This window comes from Homo sapiens, chromosome 15 (assembly GCF_000001405.40).
Source record: "Homo sapiens chromosome 15, GRCh38.p14 Primary Assembly".
NCBI classification, from domain to species: Eukaryota; Metazoa; Chordata; class Mammalia; order Primates; family Hominidae; genus Homo; species Homo sapiens.
In genome coordinates, this window is record NC_000015.10 from 90,037,502 (window position 1) to 90,055,230 (window position 17,729).

General features: G+C 52.0%; 1 protein-coding gene across 11 annotated transcripts in view, besides 5 other annotated features; it reads left to right on the forward strand.

The window, feature by feature from the left end:
• The window catches only part of ZNF710 (zinc finger protein 710), an 83,885-nt gene that overhangs the window by 39,195 nt on the left and 26,961 nt on the right, over nucleotides 1-17,729 (forward strand). The window lies entirely within an intron of this gene.
• Nucleotides 552-1,071: an enhancer, noted in NCBI's record as "H3K27ac-H3K4me1 hESC enhancer chr15:90581285-90581804 (GRCh37/hg19 assembly coordinates)". NCBI's record gives its function as "activates a minimal SCP1, AML or CMV promoter by ChIP-STARR-seq in primed H9 embryonic stem cells {active_cell/tissue: H9 hESC(primed)}" and the evidence as "EXISTENCE:reporter gene assay evidence [ECO:0000049][PMID:30033119]".
• Nucleotides 3,116-3,410: an enhancer, noted in NCBI's record as "tiled region #12348; HepG2 Activating non-DNase unmatched - State 23:Low, and K562 Activating DNase matched - State 5:Enh". NCBI's record gives its function as "activates a minimal TATA promoter and a strong SV40 promoter by Sharpr-MPRA in HepG2 and K562 cells {active_cell/tissue: HepG2 | K562}" and the evidence as "EXISTENCE:reporter gene assay evidence [ECO:0000049][PMID:27701403]".
• Nucleotides 5,218-6,197: an enhancer, noted in NCBI's record as "H3K4me1 hESC enhancer chr15:90585951-90586930 (GRCh37/hg19 assembly coordinates)". NCBI's record gives its function as "activates a minimal SCP1, AML or CMV promoter by ChIP-STARR-seq in primed H9 embryonic stem cells {active_cell/tissue: H9 hESC(primed)}" and the evidence as "EXISTENCE:reporter gene assay evidence [ECO:0000049][PMID:30033119]".
• Nucleotides 9,478-9,527: an enhancer, noted in NCBI's record as "active region_10059". NCBI's record gives its function as "activates an Ori minimal core promoter by ATAC-STARR-seq in GM12878 lymphoblastoid cells {active_cell/tissue: GM12878}" and the evidence as "EXISTENCE:reporter gene assay evidence [ECO:0000049][PMID:35858748]".
• Nucleotides 16,638-17,521: an enhancer, noted in NCBI's record as "H3K4me1 hESC enhancer chr15:90597371-90598254 (GRCh37/hg19 assembly coordinates)". NCBI's record gives its function as "activates a minimal SCP1, AML or CMV promoter by ChIP-STARR-seq in naive H9 embryonic stem cells {active_cell/tissue: H9 hESC(naive)}" and the evidence as "EXISTENCE:reporter gene assay evidence [ECO:0000049][PMID:30033119]".

A 17,729-nucleotide genomic window follows, 5' to 3' on the forward strand; every position in this document is an offset into this window, starting at 1 on the left:
AAGGGACCTAGTTCAGAAGAGGAAACTGAGTCTCAGTCACCAGCGAGTACCACCACTGGTGGTACTCAGAGCTTGGGTAGCAGAGCTTGGGCTTTTCAGCCTTGGACACCACCAGCTAGGATGGAGTGAGGGCTGAGCTGGAATGCTTCTGAGGAAATGATCTCTGACCCAAGCATGCCACAATTATGAGAGCATCTTCAGCACTCATAAGCATCGCAGGCTGGATCTCTTTCTCTGACCTTTGGATGTGGGGTGCCAGAATCTGTGCTTAAAGATGAGGGATGTCGGGCTTCTGCCCTCAAAGAACTCTGGATCTCGAGGGAGCAGTGGGCCTAAGCATAGAGTATTCTAATACGGTCGCTAGGCTTCCAGAGCTGTAAGAGACAGGCTTGAGCAGGGAGAGACGAATTCCCCGAGGGAGGCCTTGATGAGGAGGTGAAGAGGCAGTGAGGGTCTGGTGTCTACTCCCCTTTAACCACAGGCCTGGCCTTCCAGCCAGGGTGCTGTACCAAAGTGAGTGCTGGGGCCGCTAAGTGGTGCCCAGGTACTGATTTCCCCTCGACCCGCAGTCGGCTGGGCTGGGTGGGTCTGTGGATGGTTTGGACCAGCCTTGCCCGATTACCCCAGTGTACGGTCCAAATATGATTTTCTATGTGTGCCATGCAGATCAGGAGCACTGTAGCAGGCCCCTCTCTCTATCACCAGTGCATCACTTTCATCATGGAGCAGGTTGGGAAACAAGCCAAAGGCTGGCCCCACAGACACAAAGAATAAGTCACAACTCACCCACGTGGTGTGTTTCCTCCTAACTCTTTAGTTTGAAATTTTCAAACTTGACAGAAAAGTTAAGAACCTTCGTCCAGATTCACTCATTGTTGCCATTTTGCCACGTTTTCTTTATCTCACTCTCTTTCACGTGGTTTTGCTGAGTCATTTGAAAGTGAGTTGCAGACAGCCCACCGTTAAGTACGTCAGCAGGTATCTTTCAGGAGTGTGGACTTCCCCATTTGCAACCACGGTGCCATCATCACACCTAAGAAATTACCACTGTCCAATAATATCCAATCTACAACCCATTCATATTTCCCCAGTTGAACTCCAAAAATGTTTTCGTATGGCTGTTTTCCTGATCCAAAAATCTTCATGCATTACATTTGGGTGTTGCGTTTCTTTACCTTCTTTTAATCTAGAACAGCCTCCCTGCTCTGTGTGTGTGTGTGTGTGTGTGTGTGTGTGTGTGAGACATTGGCTTTGAAGAGTCCAGGAAGGCCAGCTGTGTTACACAATAGATTTGTGTAATCGAATATGTTCAGGTTAAGTTTGCATAGTTTCAAAACTCACCTGATAATTGCTTCATTGTGTCCAGGAAAGTCCTAAGGCAGAGAGGCTATCTCTTTGGCTGTCTGTCCCTGTGTGTGTTGTGGGGCATCCTGTCCAGCCACCCAGAAAAAGCAATGGCTTTGGTAACATGACATGTTATGTATAAAATGCTTCCTGCCAGGTGAGGTGGCTCACGCCTATAATCCCATCACTTTGGGAGGCCAGAGGGGGTGGATCACTTGAGGCCAGAAGTTCAAGACCAGCCTGGCCAACATAGTGAAACCCCATCTCTACTAAAAATACAAAAATTAGCCAGGCGTGGTGGCAGGCGCCTGTAACCCCAGCTACTCGGGAGGCTGAGGCAGGAGAATCGCTTGAACCCAGGAGGTGGAGGTTGCAGTGAGCTGAGATTGTGCCACTGCACTCCAGCCTGGATGGCAGAGCGAGACTGTCTCAAAAAAAAAAAAAAAGTGCTTCTGATGTGTACAGATGATTTCACCTGATGATTTCACTGGCAGGGCAGATGTTCTCTTCATTTCGTGGGTGGGATTCTGAGAGGTTGAGGCCATGCCCAGGTCCACTATCTTAGGCAAAAGTGGACCAGATCCCTGCCTTGTGACCCACTGTGGGGCTTTCTGCAGTGACAGCTGGGAGTCTTGCCCCACGACTGGATGAGGTGGTCTCACCTCATTTCACTCCTGGATCCAATACGTGCTTGGCTGAGTGCTCAACCGAGTATTGAATGTAATCTAATACAGTCCAATCCATCTTGATGACTGCAAGTCATGATTAGGAGCCCTCGGTGCTGAGCTCAGGTATGGAGGTGTCCAAGCTGCTTGCCCCACCCCTAATGGCCATAAACTGTCACTGGGTCATTTTCAGCCTGCACCCTAGCCAGCCACCATCATAGCCTCCAGCAGCGAGTGGCACCTCTTTCACCTCCTTGGGTTTCCTCTGCATCTGCCGTGGTCTGGGAAACTGGATAACCGTGCTTGTTAGAACTGAGTCCAAAGCCTCCAAGCAAGGGGCGCTGTCCCATAAAGAAAAAAGTGCCTGGGACACCAAAGTCCCCTCTTCGAGTCACCCACATCTGTTTCATTCTGGACTCTCAACTTTTTCATATGCTCTGCAGTTCTCTAAGTCTTTTGGGGGAAATTTGAGGTGGCCAGAGAAGAGATCTCTGGACAAGTGTAATCTTGCTATCACATATTAGGAAAGACCATAATGTACAGCAGAGGTGCCTGGTGAGGAAACAGTCAGCATGCCAGTGAGAACCAGAGCCTGGGGGCACTTTGTGCATGGTGGCCATACTGCTGGATGACCATGCCAGCTTGGGCTGTGGCTGGGTGAGGTCACCCAGGCCTCAGGCCTGTGCACTGTGGCCACTGCCTCCTCTGCACGTAGATCATACCGCCTTTGTTGAGGAAGTCGTGTCTGAGGATCTGGTCCCCAGCTCTAGGCAACAGCAGAAACCCTGGTACCCAGATCCCCCAGTCTCCAGGGAGGTGTCCTTAGTGCTCCGGATGGGGTTGTTAAAGCCACATGTGAACACTCCGCAGATTTTCCCTGCAAGGTACAAGCCCTCCAGCCTCTTCCACCCAAATGTGTCACCTTGGGCAGCAGCTCCCTGAATTCTGTTCTTTCTTGAAGGAATTTCTGTTCTCATCAGTTCATAAGCACAGTGCCCCTTCTGTTTCTTGGCTTAATGCTCCGGGAGTTCACAGTGATCCCGATTTGACTTCACAGTGACTCCTTTACCAAGCCTTTTTTGCTTGTTTGCTTGCTTTTAATTTTGTTTTTTATCAGAGTAATATATGCATCTTTTTTTACATCAAACAATACTGATGGGCTTCTAGTGCTAAAGCAGCAGGCCCCGCCCCACCTCGCTCCCCAACTCCAGCCCTCCAGCCAGTTAACCATTTGCAAACTGCTTACTTCCTCCTTCCTGTTATTTACGTCCATGTTCTGAAATAATATGTTACTCCAGTGATTTCTTGATTTATCAATTTCGGACATTATCTTTTGCCTCCATATTGTTGCAAGTGAGGACTTATCTCTCCACCACCCTATCATTCCTCCTCCTCCTCTCTTAGTTTTATCATTAGGTCGCAATTTTGGGTTAAGCCCACAGTATAAATACTATTCACTGCTAAACATGGCACTGAACTACGATTACTTCTTTAAAACAAGAGTTCATTATTGTTTCTTTTGTTCTCACTGCGTTACTTTTCTCTGTGCTTCTGATTCCTCCTAATACACCAACAGATTAGGAAAACATCTATTGGATGTTTATCTATTGGTTCACTGATCAATTCTGTTTTTTTTTTCTAGACACCTAGGTATCTTGCCAGTTAAATTCTTTTCTTTTCTCTTTGTTTGTCTGTTTGGTTGGTTTTTAGAGATAGGGTCTCACTCTGTCACCCAAGCTAGAATGCAGCGGCATGATCACAGCTCCAACATCTGGGCTCAAGTGATCTTCCCACCTCAGCCTCCAGAGTAGCTAAGACTACCAGCATGCACCAACATGCCTGGCTAATTTTTTTATTTTTTGTAGAGGTGAGGTCTCACTATATTGCTTAGGCTGGTGTCAAACTCCCAGGCTCAAGCGATCCTCCTCCCTTGGGCTCTTAAAAGTGCTGGGATTATAGGTATGAGCCACTGGGCCTGGCCACCAGTGAAATTCTTTATATCTTTTTCAAAGCAAATGAAAATTTTGTTCACTTTAATATATTAAAATAACTCCATGCCACCTCCTCTGAAAGAGCTTCCCTGAACCTCCAGCCTCTCTAAGTCTGCCCCTCCTCTGTTCTTGTTCTAACGCAGCCTTTACACACCAAATTAAAATTGCCTGTTTTCTTGCCTGTTGCTCTCACAACACCATAAGTTCTTAAGGGCAGGACCGAGTCTTGTGCACTGCTATCTCCCTAGGAATGCACAGGAGCTGGATGGCACATGGTAGGTGCTCAACAAATATTTGTGGGATTTGCCTTTGTCAAATGGAAGCACAACAGTGATTTTATAGGCTGCTGGTGGCTAGGTTAAATATCTGCCCCATGCCTCTTTGTTTTTGATTTTTTTTTTTTTTTTTTTTTTTGAGATAGAGTTTCGCTCTGTTGCCCAGGCTTGAGTGCAGTGGCATGATCTCAGCTCACTGCAACCACTGCATCCCGGGTTCAAGTGATTCTCCTGCCTCAGCCTCCCAGGTAGCTGGGATTACAGGCGCCCACTACCACGTCTGGCTTATTTTTGTATTTTTAGTAGAGATGGGGTTTCACCATGTGGGCCAGGCTGGCTTGAACTCCTGACCTCAGGTGATCCACCCGCCTCAGCCTTCCAAAGTGCTGGGATTACAGGCGAGAGCCACCGTGCCCGGCCCCTGTGCCTCTTTGTATTTTCCATGCCCCCCCTTCTCTCCAGCCTCCTTGTTGGGTTCGGAGGCCCTCCTGGGGCCTGTTCCAGCGAAATAACAGCCTTTTCCAGATAAAGATGGAAAGGAAGGGTTTTCTTTCCCTGATCCATTGTGTCTCCCCCCCACCCCCTCCAGGCAGCATTAGGTTGGCCCCAAGCACCTCAGGGCTCCGGACTGGTCCTTGTCGCTTTATAATCCCAGCCCACACCACTGAGCTCCACACAGACTGAGCGCTCAGTAGATGAGTAAGGTTGAGACTCGCTCAATCAATCAATCAATAAACCAATCAGTCTTCCTCCACTCAGCCTCTCTGCTCCCCGGCGTTTCTCATTATCTAGCGTTTGGATGATCAGAAGGAAAAAGGAGCTGCTGCGTAAAGGTGACCCCATTTCAGGTTTCGTCATGACTCGCTAGGTACTGAGAGACAGCAGGAGAAGGGAAGACAAAGAAGGGGGACAGGGAACACTCACCTGTGATCGCAGAGGGACATTTTGGGAGACACACGGTCACTAGACTGAGGGCTGTGTGTGGGCATTTGCCGGCACGATCTGGTGTGTAACAGAGGCCCAACCAGGAAGGACAGGAAATCTAAATCCAGGTTAGGGCACGTATATTGCACCCAGCCTTTGGGTCTTGGCTAACTCAGGAAGGTGCTGGTCGGCGGTGACCCGTGATGTGAGAACACGCCTCAACGTCCAAAGAGGCCCTCCCTCGTGAGTGACATAGACCCAACAGCTGGTGGCCTGTAAAAAGAGCCAACCCACCCGCTTACCCTCCTGGAGTGAGGGCCCAGCCTGAGCAGGCGGCGGGCTTCTTTGGAGCAGTCCCTCGAGGGGACAGCCCATCCCAGGGCTGACTCAGAATGCCCTTCACCCCACACCCCACCGGGGACCGAGCACCTCCTGTGTGCAGGCAGCCGGAGAACTGGGTGGACACGGCCCAGGCAGGGTGAGTTGCCACGGCTTTCACCTCCAGCCAGGGCAGCTGCCTCACTGAGAACCCCCTCATCTGCCCCGCTACCTGGTTAAGGGCCCGAGGGCTCTCATAGAGGAGACCTGCGGGCACCCAGGGGGCCGAGCTGCCTTTGGAGACTGAGCCTTGTGCACAGCATCACAGGCCAGGGCTCTCTCCCTTGGCTCACCCAGGACCCTATGGGAGGAGGCCACAGCCAGGCGGCCAGGGCAGGGAGCAGCCGACCCTGTAATAAAGCTGATGGCTGCCGGCCTGTGGCGCCCCTGGAGAGGGAGCAACTCCCCTTGGGGGTGTAACCTGTTTCGGGGAAGCCTTTACAGCAGCTCTTTGATGTTTCTCCAGTGGAACTGAATTTATTTTTTGTACTTTTAGGAATTAACTTGCAGTGCTCAGCCTCTCCCTCCCCAGAAAGGAGAGAAGGAGAAAAGAAGAAAGGGTTTGCATTGTCACCGTGATTGGCACCGCCTGTGAATGAGGGGTCACTGCTTCAGGCTGCTCCTTTTCAAGCAGGCCTTTCTCCCCTGCACGCTGCATTCACGCTAGAACATTCTTTCTTTCAAAGCTTCTGTCTTTCTCTCCCCCGCCCTTTGTGTCTCTGCCTTCCTTCCCTTCACTTTTGCCTTTCATTCTGAGCCCTCACCACCTCCCTTAGGCTTCACTCTCTTTCCCTCTTTTTTCCCCTTTTTCTTCTTCTATTCAGTTCCTTTTTTTTTCCCCTCTTGCCTCTCTCTCTCCCTTTTAAATTTCTTTTTTCTTTTTCTTTTTGAATAGTGCTTCTGTTTTCAAGGGAAGAGACCAGTAGGGAAGTGGGTTTATTTGAGAGAGGGAGAATATGTTTTTTCTCCATTGCTCTAAATGTGTAAAACAACAACAACAAACAACAAAAACCTGTTGAAGACACTGTTTTCTTTTAGGCTCCTGCTTTAAAGAGGGAAGGGTGTTTGGGGGTCTCCACCAGCCGTAGGGACCTGTTCGTCACACAGGAGGAGTCCTGAGTGGGTCAGCAGGGATAGGTGACTGAAGGCGTGAGGTGGGACTGGCAGGATCTAGACATGGCCTTGGCATCCTTCCCTTCTGCCTGGCCCAATATGGGGCTCAAGATGAGGGTGAAGGCAGAGGCGGATGTGGTCCCACGGGCCTCCCCACTCTGGCGGAGCGTGGTGTCGCCATTCCCTGCCAAGGCGGGGCTAGGTGGCGTCCGTGTGAACATGACACAGGGGCTGAGTGTGAGGAAGGGGGCCGGTCCACACGACACAAGCTGGACCGACAGCTGAGCTGGATAACCCTCACCAAATAAGGGGCCCGCCACCTTGGGTTTGGCAGCCTGTGTTGACACATCCTTTGTGACAGGGACACATGTGTCCCACGCATCAGAGGGATTTCAAAATGTCACCTGGGAGCTATAGAGAATTTTCACTCAGGTTTTCCTAAATTATCCAAACAGAACAGTTTGGTTTTTTCCCTGTAGGCCTCTTTATTTTTCTTTAAACCTGTGGAAACGAACCTCCTCTGAGAGCCGACATATGCTTGTCAATCAGGCATGTGCGTGTGCCTGGTTAGCACATTTACTTTACCTGTTAAAGCAGTGGCTCCTCTCCTGTGTGCATGGGTCAGTGGATAGCACCGCAGCAAGGCCAGCACTTTCTACATCCCCAGGGGCCACCAGTCACTGTGGTCTGAGGAGTAAAGGTGGCCCTGCCTACTCTTGAGGTGTGTTTATACCTGTGTAGGCCAAACCCCCGCACTGTGTCACACCTCCACATTACAATCACTGCTCCCTCCCCCAGAGTGCCTTTCTTCTGTTAGTCTGCCTGCTGAACTCCTACACAACCTACAAAACCTTGCTCAGGTGTCACCTCCCCCTTTGACTCCCCCACATAAGACTTAATCACATCTCCCTTTATCCATCTCCTGGGAGTTGTATGTCATAGCTGTCAACTCACTAAGGTAATCATCCATTTACTGTGGCTGCTGGAGGGCGGAGACTGTTGTCTTCATCTCTCTAGCTCCTAGGAGAATGGTGTGCTGTCCATGTTTGCCAGGCAGAAAAGCCTTGCAAAACCTCAGTCACTCTACAGTGACCTCAGAGCTTGAGCCTGGTCAACTGGAACAGCAGAAAGAAGGAAGCTGGAAATGGCGGATGGCTTCAAGGACGTGAGCCATGGAGAGGTTAGACAGTGACGGCTGACAGGTTTGCCGTCTGGGAACTGTTGCGGACCTGGGTAAGGGTGCAGCTCTAGTGAGGTCAACACTGAGGTGAGCGCAGAAGCCATGAGAGATGGTTTCTCTGAGGGAGTCCACTCAGGCCAAGGCCTGAGCCCAGGGGCCGCTGGGATGCAGGAGGCCAGGGAGTGGTGGTGGTGCGTGGCCTGTGAGCTCAGAGAGGGTTGTGTGGCTGCTGCCAGATGAGGAGGAGGCCCAGCTCAAAGCTCCTGTGTTTGGCAAAGGGCTGCCACCTTCCAGAGGACAGCTGAGCTCTGGTGGAGGGGACAGATATCATAGAGTAGAGCTTGAGGAGGTGATGGAGGACATAGATCTGGCCCCAGTTTAGGGGGTGGAGAGAAAACAAGAAATCGGACATTGCCAGGGTTGCAGCGGGCTGTGGTGCATGAAAGCTTTGAGCTGGAGGCCAGAGAGGGAAGAGACGCGAGGTAGCAGGGGCCAGGTCTCTTCTGGAGGACCTACCGCATGTCTCGGCACATTTCTGCCCTGTAGAAGGGGCACGTCGGGCAGCGGGCCTGGAAGACCCTGGGTACCTCCTCAAAGCACAGAAAAAGGGACCTGGTCACACTCTGGGTCCCCCAGGGCCACAGAGAAAGCTTGTGGGGCTCCCGTCCAGCCAGGGTTCCCAGGGGCCCCAGGAAAAGGCATGGTCTCTGGGGGGACACAGGGCTCTCTGCAGAAGGAAGCTACCTCTGGGAGGGAGCCCTGAGATGTCAGTGGCCTGGGCTATGTGAGATGAGGGCTCCAGGCCCAGGTGTGCTGGCACAAGCCATCAGGCCTGGAGGTGTGGCCGGCAGGACCCTCCCAAGGCAGAACCCTGTGTGCCCTTCCTCCTGCGTACCCAGCTCAGTGCCCAGCCCATAGTAGGCGCTTCATGAATGTTTGCTGAAGTGTGAATTGCATGTTGTTAGCAGATGTAGAGTGGAAACAGTACAGCTCACAGCCAAGTGCTGTGTAAATTGTAAAGCCTTATGCAAAGGGGAGTCCTATCCCTGCCCCGCAGAGCCCAGGGCCTCAGGGAAGGGGCCATATCCTCCCCAAGAAGACTAGAGGAGGGTGGAGGAGGGCGGAGGGACGAGTCAGTGCCAGGTATGGAGGGCGGCAGGAGAAGGAAGGGCTAGTGACCAAGCCAGACACCCAGACGGGTGGGGACAATGAGCCCACTCATCAGTAGTGACCAGACCCAGGTAGAGGAAGAGTGTCAGTTGGATGTGGAAATGAGGGAGGTGGATCTGAAGCCCCGTGATATGGTGCTGAGCCCCTACTATGTGCAAGTTGGGTGCTAACACCCACTTCCCAGGAGGAGGGTCTGGGGCTCCAAAGGGGTTGGGGAAAAGGCTGTCCTCCCTCTGAGTCTGGGTGACCAAGACAAGATGAGCTGTGGTGTGGGTAAAGGTAGCAGGGAGTCTGCTTATCTAGGGACGTTTGGGATTTATGCTCCAGGAAAGGGATCAAGATGGCTTTGGGGCAGGCACCATAGAGATTTGAGCCTGGGCCCAGGGGAGGAGGCCACCATTGCTCTTCCTGGCCCCACCTGCTTCTCAGCATACTGCTGGCAACCCGGAAGCTGCCAGGGCAGGCCTGCAAGGCCATCAGGTTTTTCCAGTTTGGGCAAGAACGTCTCCTTACGCCCATGAAGATGCCCACGCACAGCCACGCTGGCCTAGAGATGAAAGAGGTTCTGGGGGTGGGTGGGGACAGGACGAGGGTCCGAGTTTGAGGCAGGCATGTTTCCAGGGCCCCAGTTTCCCAGGTGGCAGGGCACCTAGCAGTCGATTCTCCCCTAAGAACTGGCATCAAGGAGTCCAGCTCCTCCCGTAACTAACGTGTGGCCCAGGCGAGCTGCTGAGTGCTAATAATAGCAGCAAACACCACAAGCGTGCCAGGTTCTGCTTTCAGCACTTTACATATTTTAACTGGTGAGGCAGGTGCTCTTGGTACCACCCCACTTTAGTAAGGAGAAAGAGTCATGCCATTGGGAAGTAGCAGAGGATGCAAACTCAGGCCTTCAACTCTAGAGTCTGGATCTAAACCGGTGCTTCAAAACCTGGTGGGGTTTTTTAAAGTCCATTTCTACGCCTCACAGACTAATACTTTATCAACCTGGCTCAAATATCACAGCATTTTCACATTGCTATACAAGTTTCTTTTCTTTTTCTTTTTTCTTTTTTTTTTTTTGAGACAGAGTCTTGCTCTGTCGCCAGGCTGGGGTGTAGTGGTGCGATCTCAGCTCACCGCAACCTCCAACTCCCGGGTTCAAATGATTCTCCTGCCTCAGCCTCCGAGTAGCTGGGACTACAGGCATGCACCACCGCACCGGGCTGATTTTTGTATTTTTTCTAGTAGAGGCGGCATTTCACCATGTTGGCCAGGCTGGTCTTGAACTCCTGACCTCAAATGATCCACCCATTTCGGCCTCCCAAAATGCTGGGATTACAGGCATGAGCCACTGCACCCAGCCAAGTTTCTAAGGCTACGCTTATGTATTTGGAAGCAGTCCCAGAGCTCGAGGGTCGTGCTGTGAGGAGCAATGTTCTAAAGCTATTAACCGTTCTGTGCCTCAGTTTCCATATTTGTAAAACAGGGTGATGGCACCAGTACCAGCCATAGGCTGCAGTCAGGATTAAATGACACACTGTGCTGAAAGTTGGCCCAGGTTGGCACTGTCACTCTCAGGGCAGCCAGCCAGTCTGTGAACGTCGGTTTTGCCATTAGGAATAAGAGCCCACACAGGTGCTGCCCATTCAGATGCCAGTGCAGAACCTGGCAGGGAGCATCCCATGACTTCATGCCTGGGAAAGCTTTGTAAACTGCAGAGGGCTGTAGCTGTGTGAGCAGGCCTGCTCATTCTCTTGCCCAGCCTGTCTTTCTGAGTCCCAGGAGATCTTGTGTTTCCTTCTTCACTTTGGCACCCAGAGCTGGGGGCATTTGGAGGAGAGAACCCACGGGGTTCCCAGGGGCAGGCCCTGAGTGCTTCAGAGCCAGGACGAAGCCCTGGCATCAGCACAGGGAGGAGGGTGACTTGCTTCCTGGCTGTGCACATGTGAGTGCGTGTGGGCTTCACACAAGAAGCTTCTGGGCGTTTTGGTTTCAGGGGTCGGGGCCAGCACGGGGCAGGGTGGGGGTCCCATTCTTGGACCCAGCCCTTCCCTCTGACCCATCTGAGCTGCGTTTGTTTGCTGAGGAGTGGGTCATTCCAGCTGGCAGGAGTGTGATCCCAGAAAGAGATTATCTACACTCTGGTGAGGAGAGTTGGATCTTGTACTTCGTTTAGGAATGTGGTCTTCTGAGCTACCTGGATGAGTTGTAAAATTTCAGAAAAGAGGTAGCATCTGTGACGAGACTTCTAGAAGCCCACAGAAGATGCCTTCCCGCCTCTCCAGGGTCCTCCTCAGGTTCTGGGGCCCAAGGGACCCTCACAGCCCCACAGGCACTGGGGTTGAGATTGCCCATTTCCTGGCAACCCAGGGGCTCCCGTGTGGACCAAGGACTTGAGCTAGAACCTTCCGTGGGACCGGGTCCATTCCCAGCATCTCTGTCCTTCCTTACACTTGATCTCATTACTTTTTCCAAGTGTTCGTCCTCTCCCCACTCCTTCATGGGATTTAGATATTTTTAGTGATAGTGAGAACATGTCAAATGTTTAGGGGCCCTGGGTGACTCATATTGTATGTGTACATATATTGTGGTGTAAAGGCTTAAACTGACCATTTATCAGAAGCCAGCCCCCAGTTCCAGGCATATCCCATTGCATTACCTTATTGAATCTTCTCTACCATCCTGTGGGGAAGGCAGCTGTTATCCCCATTTTGCAGTTGAGAAAACAGAGGCCCTGAGAGATGAAGCAACTTGCCCAAAGCAGTACAGCGAGGAGGTGGCCAGGCCAATTCTAGAGCTTCCAATTGCTGAGGGGCCCCACCCTACCTCCATGGCCTGGCCGGAGGGGCCTCAACCCCACAGTCAGTCGCACCGCAGGCAGAGGGGACGGAAACCCTCACACCACTAGTCACAGCCAGCCATTCGCTTGTTTTATAATCATCCCCTCTACTAAAGTCACTTTCGCCCTTGGGTCACACACATGCATTTGAATTCCAGCATCTGGGACACATGGCCCAGAGCCTACCACCCTGCAGACAGGGCTTCCAAGCTCCTACAGGTCATCCTCTGTGATCCGGATTGAAGAGGAAACTAGTTCCTGCTCTGGGCTGAGCTGACCACGTTGGGTACCCTCCCCTGTGACATCCATGGTCCTGCCCTCGAGACCCTCTTCCGTCTCTCCTTCCCAGGCCCCACTGCCCTCTGGTTCTCCTCCCGCCTCTCCTCTACCCTGCAGCCAACAGGCTGCCTTGGCCTCCTCCTTTGTGAGCTCCTAGTAATGAGCAGACCCAGGAGCTCCTGGCTGGGATGCCCATCATGTGGCTCCCGCCTTCTCTGAACTTCTTATCTGAGGCGAGCATCTCCCTCCGCAGCTCAACTGCAGGGTCCAGTGTGGGTACCCAGGCTTCCACCCCTTGCATAGGTCCTACCCCTCAGCTCACTGCATGAAAGTATCATTGTTAGGTGACTGAGGAAGGCATGGCTTTGCGCGCTGCTCCTGCCTGCCTCTGATGATAGCCTGTGTGGACGGCCGCATGTGTCTGATGTCTGCGTGTGTACGCTATCAGCTGATACGTTGCACCAGCTGTCCCTCCCCCCAGGAGATACATGAAGGCATTACGTGAATGAGAGAGGCATTCTTTACTCCTCCTGGCATAAATCCGTACTCGAGCTGGGTGTGTGGGTGACTGCAAAATAAATGTTGATTACAGTAGTGGCTTCGGGAGGCAGCTGCTGCCAGGGGCTCTGCTGGCATGGAGGCCCAGGGAGGAGTCATAACACTGCCATGAGAACGGAGAGGGCTTGTGCCCAGGCCATACTCTTCACCTGCCCTCAGACCTCAGCACCTTCCCTACCTCCTGCGCTTCTGTCCGCTTTCCCTTCCCTTCTCCGTCCCATGCTTCCAGCCTGGGCAGGCCCTCCTCTCTGGCTGGGTCTATGGGGGAAGGGGTCTTCCTAATCAGCTTCTCCCTTCTCTAGGCCTCCCTGGACCCCTCCACCCAACCTTTGGGTAATAAACACCACAGATCATCCTCATTTGTCTAACGGGCTCAGTTAAACCCCCTAACAACTCCAGGAAGTGAGAACCATTATCTCATGCCACAGATGAGGAGACTGAGGCACACACAGACCAAGGTGTGAGTGGTGGGGCCAGACTGCAGTCTGACCCTGCGGCCCATGCCCTGAGTTTATTGCCTCCCAAAGTGTCCATTTATATGGAAGAACATTCCTGATACCTTAAGTTTGTTTTTTTTTTTTAAGCACATTTATTTACTGCTTATTTCCTATGTGATATTTTCCACTACTATTTTGTGGTTCTTAATCTTGTCTCTAGCCAAATTGTGAGGTCCTGAGACTGGGGATCTTTGTGCCTCACCAGCACCCAGCACCAGCCTGGCCGGATGATAGGAACAATAATAATAGCAATTGCACAGGCTGGGGCACCGTGGCTCACGCCTGTAATCCCAGCACTTTGGGAGGCCGAGGTGGGCGGATCACTTGAGGTCAGGAGTTGGAGACCAACCTGGCCAACATGGTGAAACCCCATCTCTACTAAAAATACAAAAATTAGCCGGGTGTGGTGACACATGCCTGTAGTCCCAGCTACTTGGGAGGCTGAGGCAGGAGAATCGCTTGAACCCGAGAGGCGGAGGTTGCAGTGAGCCAAGATCGTGCCGCTGCACTCCAGCCTGGGCGACACAGCCAGACTCCGTCTCAAAAAAAAAAAAAAAAAATTAGCGGTCACTCCCAGTAACTGGGTCCTTACTATGCATCAGCCCTTATGAAACACATCATTTCCCTTATCTCCTTTATCTTAAAAGCACAGGCAGACTAGGCGCAGTGGTTCACGCCTGCAATCCCAGCACTTTGGGAGGCTGAGGCGGGCGGATCGCCTGAGGTCAGGAGTTCAAGACCAGCCTGGCCAACATGGCAAAACCTGCCTCTACTAAAAATACAAAAATTAGCTGGGTGTGGTGGTGGGTGCCTGTAATCCCAATTATTTGGGAGGCTGAGGCAGGAGAATCGCTTGAACTGGGGAGGCAGAGGTTGCAGTGAGCTGAGATGGCGCCACTGCACTCCAGCCTTGGCGACAGAGTGAGACTTTGTCTCAAAATAATAATAATAATTAATTAATTAATAAAAGCAGAGGCATTTAGGTTAGACCCAACTCCACTTATTCTCTGGTGTACCTGGTAACCGTGGGTGAATCACTCAACTCCTGTGCCTTGGTTTCCTCCTCTGTAAATACGTTTTGTTGTCAAGATTCTGTGCTGTATAAAAATGATCTCAACAGGCACAACTCCAGGCTGAAAGGAAGGGCTCAGTGATTAGACCCTTCTCCTGTCACTATACAGACAAGGAAACCAAATCCCAGGGAGGTTGAGACACTTGCCTGAGGGTGTACAGCTCCTAAGTGGCAGAGCTGGGGGTGGAGGACAGGTCTGCTGGACTGAGAACCATGTATCCCTCCCTTCTACCACCTGCAGAGGAAGGGGCTGTCCTTCCCCATTTCCTCCCCACCTCTGCTGCTTCTCATCTCCCCCTCCTCGGACCTTGCTCCTGGGGCCCAGGAGGTGCTGAGCCAGCCTTTTAGTGGAGGACTACCAATACCATGGCCCCTCCCTGGCCTGATCCCTGGCGCAGCAACGCTTCTCACCTGCAGCCAGACACTCACACAGCTCGAGGGCTCCTGAAGACCTAGGGCCCCTTTCTTCATCCCCATGTGACTTTTTTTTGTCGCAGGGGACTTGATCCCATTTTCCACCAGTGCATCTCTTCTCTTGGTCACTTTGAGATGCTGGGGCCACAGCCATCATCGGTTTGCTTCATTTTCTGCAGTCAATCTCCATTCCCAGATCTTTGTTTCTCCTGTCATTTCTGATCACTCGAGATTAAAAACAGCAATGGAGAAGCCAGGAGGAGGCTGAGCTAAGGAGGACTCGGAGTGATGTGACCTCAGTCCTCCCAGGAACACAGGAAGAAGAGGAGTAAATGGGGAAGAATGTGATTATAATCAGCTCCAATCCTGCCTTTATCTCTTACTGGCTCTGTGACGTAGACAAATCACAGCTTCTCTAAGACTCAGTTTGCTCATCTGTAAAATGAAAATTAAAACGTCTATCTTGGGCCTGGTTCGGTGGCTCACGCCTGTAATCCCAGCACTTTGGGAGGCCGAGGTGGGCAGATCATCTGAGGTCAGGAGTTCGAGACCAGCCTGGCCAACATGGTGAAACCCCATTTCTACTAAAAATACAAAAAAACTAGCCAGGCGTGTTGGCGCATGCCTGTAATTCCAGCTACTTGGGAGGCTGAGGCAGGGGAATCGCTTGAACCGGGGAGGCGGAGGTTGCGGTGAGCTGAGATGGCGCCACTGCACCCCAGCCTGGGCGACAGAGAGAGACTCTGCCTCAAAAAATAATAATTATTAAAATAAAATAAAATAAAATGTCTATCTCCCTGGGACAGCCTGTCCCTTGTGCCTGGTCCATAATATGAGCTCAGTAAATGATGGCTGAAAAGAAATTAGAAAGAGGTGGCAACCTTTCATTCTGCCTTAAACTCGGGGCACAGACACATGGGTGGGAAAGCCCATGAATTTTGCTTTCTTTACTCAGAGGCAATTTAGAAACATAGAAGAGTGTATTTTGGGGAATTGGTGAATCTCACCATCCTGTTTGGAGTGAGGGAGCTGGGCACCCTGAGCATTTGCTGGGTGCCTCAGCCTGGGGCCAGGCCCTGTGTCTCATTCACACAAGGCAAGGTAGGGCCTGAAGAGGCAGCATGGGGTGGTGAATGGTTGGGTTTCCCTGGACAGCAGTGAATTCCTTTTTTTTTTTTTCTTTTGAGACACGGTCTCACTCTGTCACCCGGGCTGGAGTACAGTGGTGTGATCACGGCTCACTGCAACCTCGACCTCCCAGACTCAAGCCATCCTCCCACTCAGCCCCCCAAGTAGCTGGTACTACAGGCACGTGCCATCATGGCCTGTTAATATTTTGTAGAAATGGGGTTTCACAATGTTGCCCAGGGTGGTCTCGAACTCCTGAGCTCAAATGATCCTCCCTCCTTGGCCTCCCAAAGTGCTGGGATTATGGGTGTGAGCCCCTGCGCCAGTCAGCAGTGAATTCCTGCCTGGAGCTGGTCATGGGGGATTTCTGCACTGGCTTACCCCCTGCTCTAGGTCCTGCCCTTGCTTCATCCTGATGTGGGTGCCGGCTTCTCCCCTACCCTGACCTCAGAGAAGCAGGGCCAGGCTCTCTGGGATGCCTCCTCCCAGGGAGCCCCCCCAACACACACTTCCCACCCGTGTGTTTTCCTCCTCCCTTCCCTAGGTGAGGTCAATAGAGAAGCTTCCCTGTGGCAGGCAGGGGTCCGTTCTGGGGTTTGTCTCCTCCCTCCTGGCCACTGTGGGGAGTCTGACCCTTAGAGATGACCCGAGAGAGAGAAGGCCGGGACTGATCTGGAGAAGCCCTGGCTGATGGAATGGGGTTTCTTTTTCCCTCCTTTCTTCCTTCTTTTCTTTTTTATTTTTAAGCAAAAGATAAATAAATGTCACCCTGAGATGACAAGAGAACATTGAAGGAGATAAAAGGAGAGTAAAAGGGAGCGAGAGAGCAGAGGCAAAGGACAGAGGGGGATTTGGACTGTACACTGCGATGAGGGGAGAGATGAAAGAGGGAAGAAAGAGATGAGATGGGAAGGCAGGACCGAGTGGCAGAGCGGAGGATGGGGTTGCCACGGAAACCGAAGGAGGGGAGGAATGGAGGGAGAGGAAGATGGGATGGAGAAGGCGGAGGGCTTGGTGCAGGAGGGGTCTGAGGCGAGTCTTGGTGAGGAGGAAGGGAAGCCATGAGGGGCTCCCAGGTGTGAATTAGGCCCCGGTGTGGGAAAACAGGTTGGCAGGGGAGGAAGACAAGACCCAGAAAGCCCATCCCTGAGAGCTGAGGTGGAGAGGGCTGGGTCTCGGCCCTGGGCCCACCCAGCTGGGGCCTGCTCTATCCTGCCTGCAGGGGACTGCCTCAGTTTCCACGTCTGTATAATGGAAATGGTACCCCCCATCCCAGAGGACTGCCCCGATGGCTAGAAATGGTGTGCTTTCATCCCAGGCCCTGATGAAGTTCAAGCGCAGTGAATGGTCCTATTGTTACTTCCTTTGATTCTTATCTTTGTCCCCTTGAACTTGTGAGCTGAAGTTTTGTCTGCTTTTCCCGTTACACGAAGCTGGTGATCTCTGGGTCCAGGATAGTGTACTTGTTTGGGGGACAGATGTGCTTCTTTGCTTCTGGACTTGGAGGAAAGATATGGAGCCCTCTGGAAACATGAGGCCTGCTGCCCCTCCCCCTCGGAACAGGAACTGGCCATAAAGCTCAGGGAAAAGAGGCGGGCAGGGTCTATCTGGCTGCTGTCCAAAGCTGGTCTCGGCAAGGGGCCTCTTTTTTCTTTGCCCTTGAATATGGGTATTCTCGAAAGGGCAACAATTTATTCTATCTGTGTACTCTGCTAGGGATGCAGTGGTGAGCAAACAGGCAAGGTCTCTGCCCTTGGAGAATGTAATCTAACTGGGATGCCAGAATCTAACTGGGATGGTAGCTATTAGGCAAGTAATTCTATAAATAAATAAATCATTAACAAATCATTTAAAGTTACAATAAGGTCCAGGAAGGAAAAGTATGAAATTTGAGATTGCACAGGACCTGGGGTCTAGACC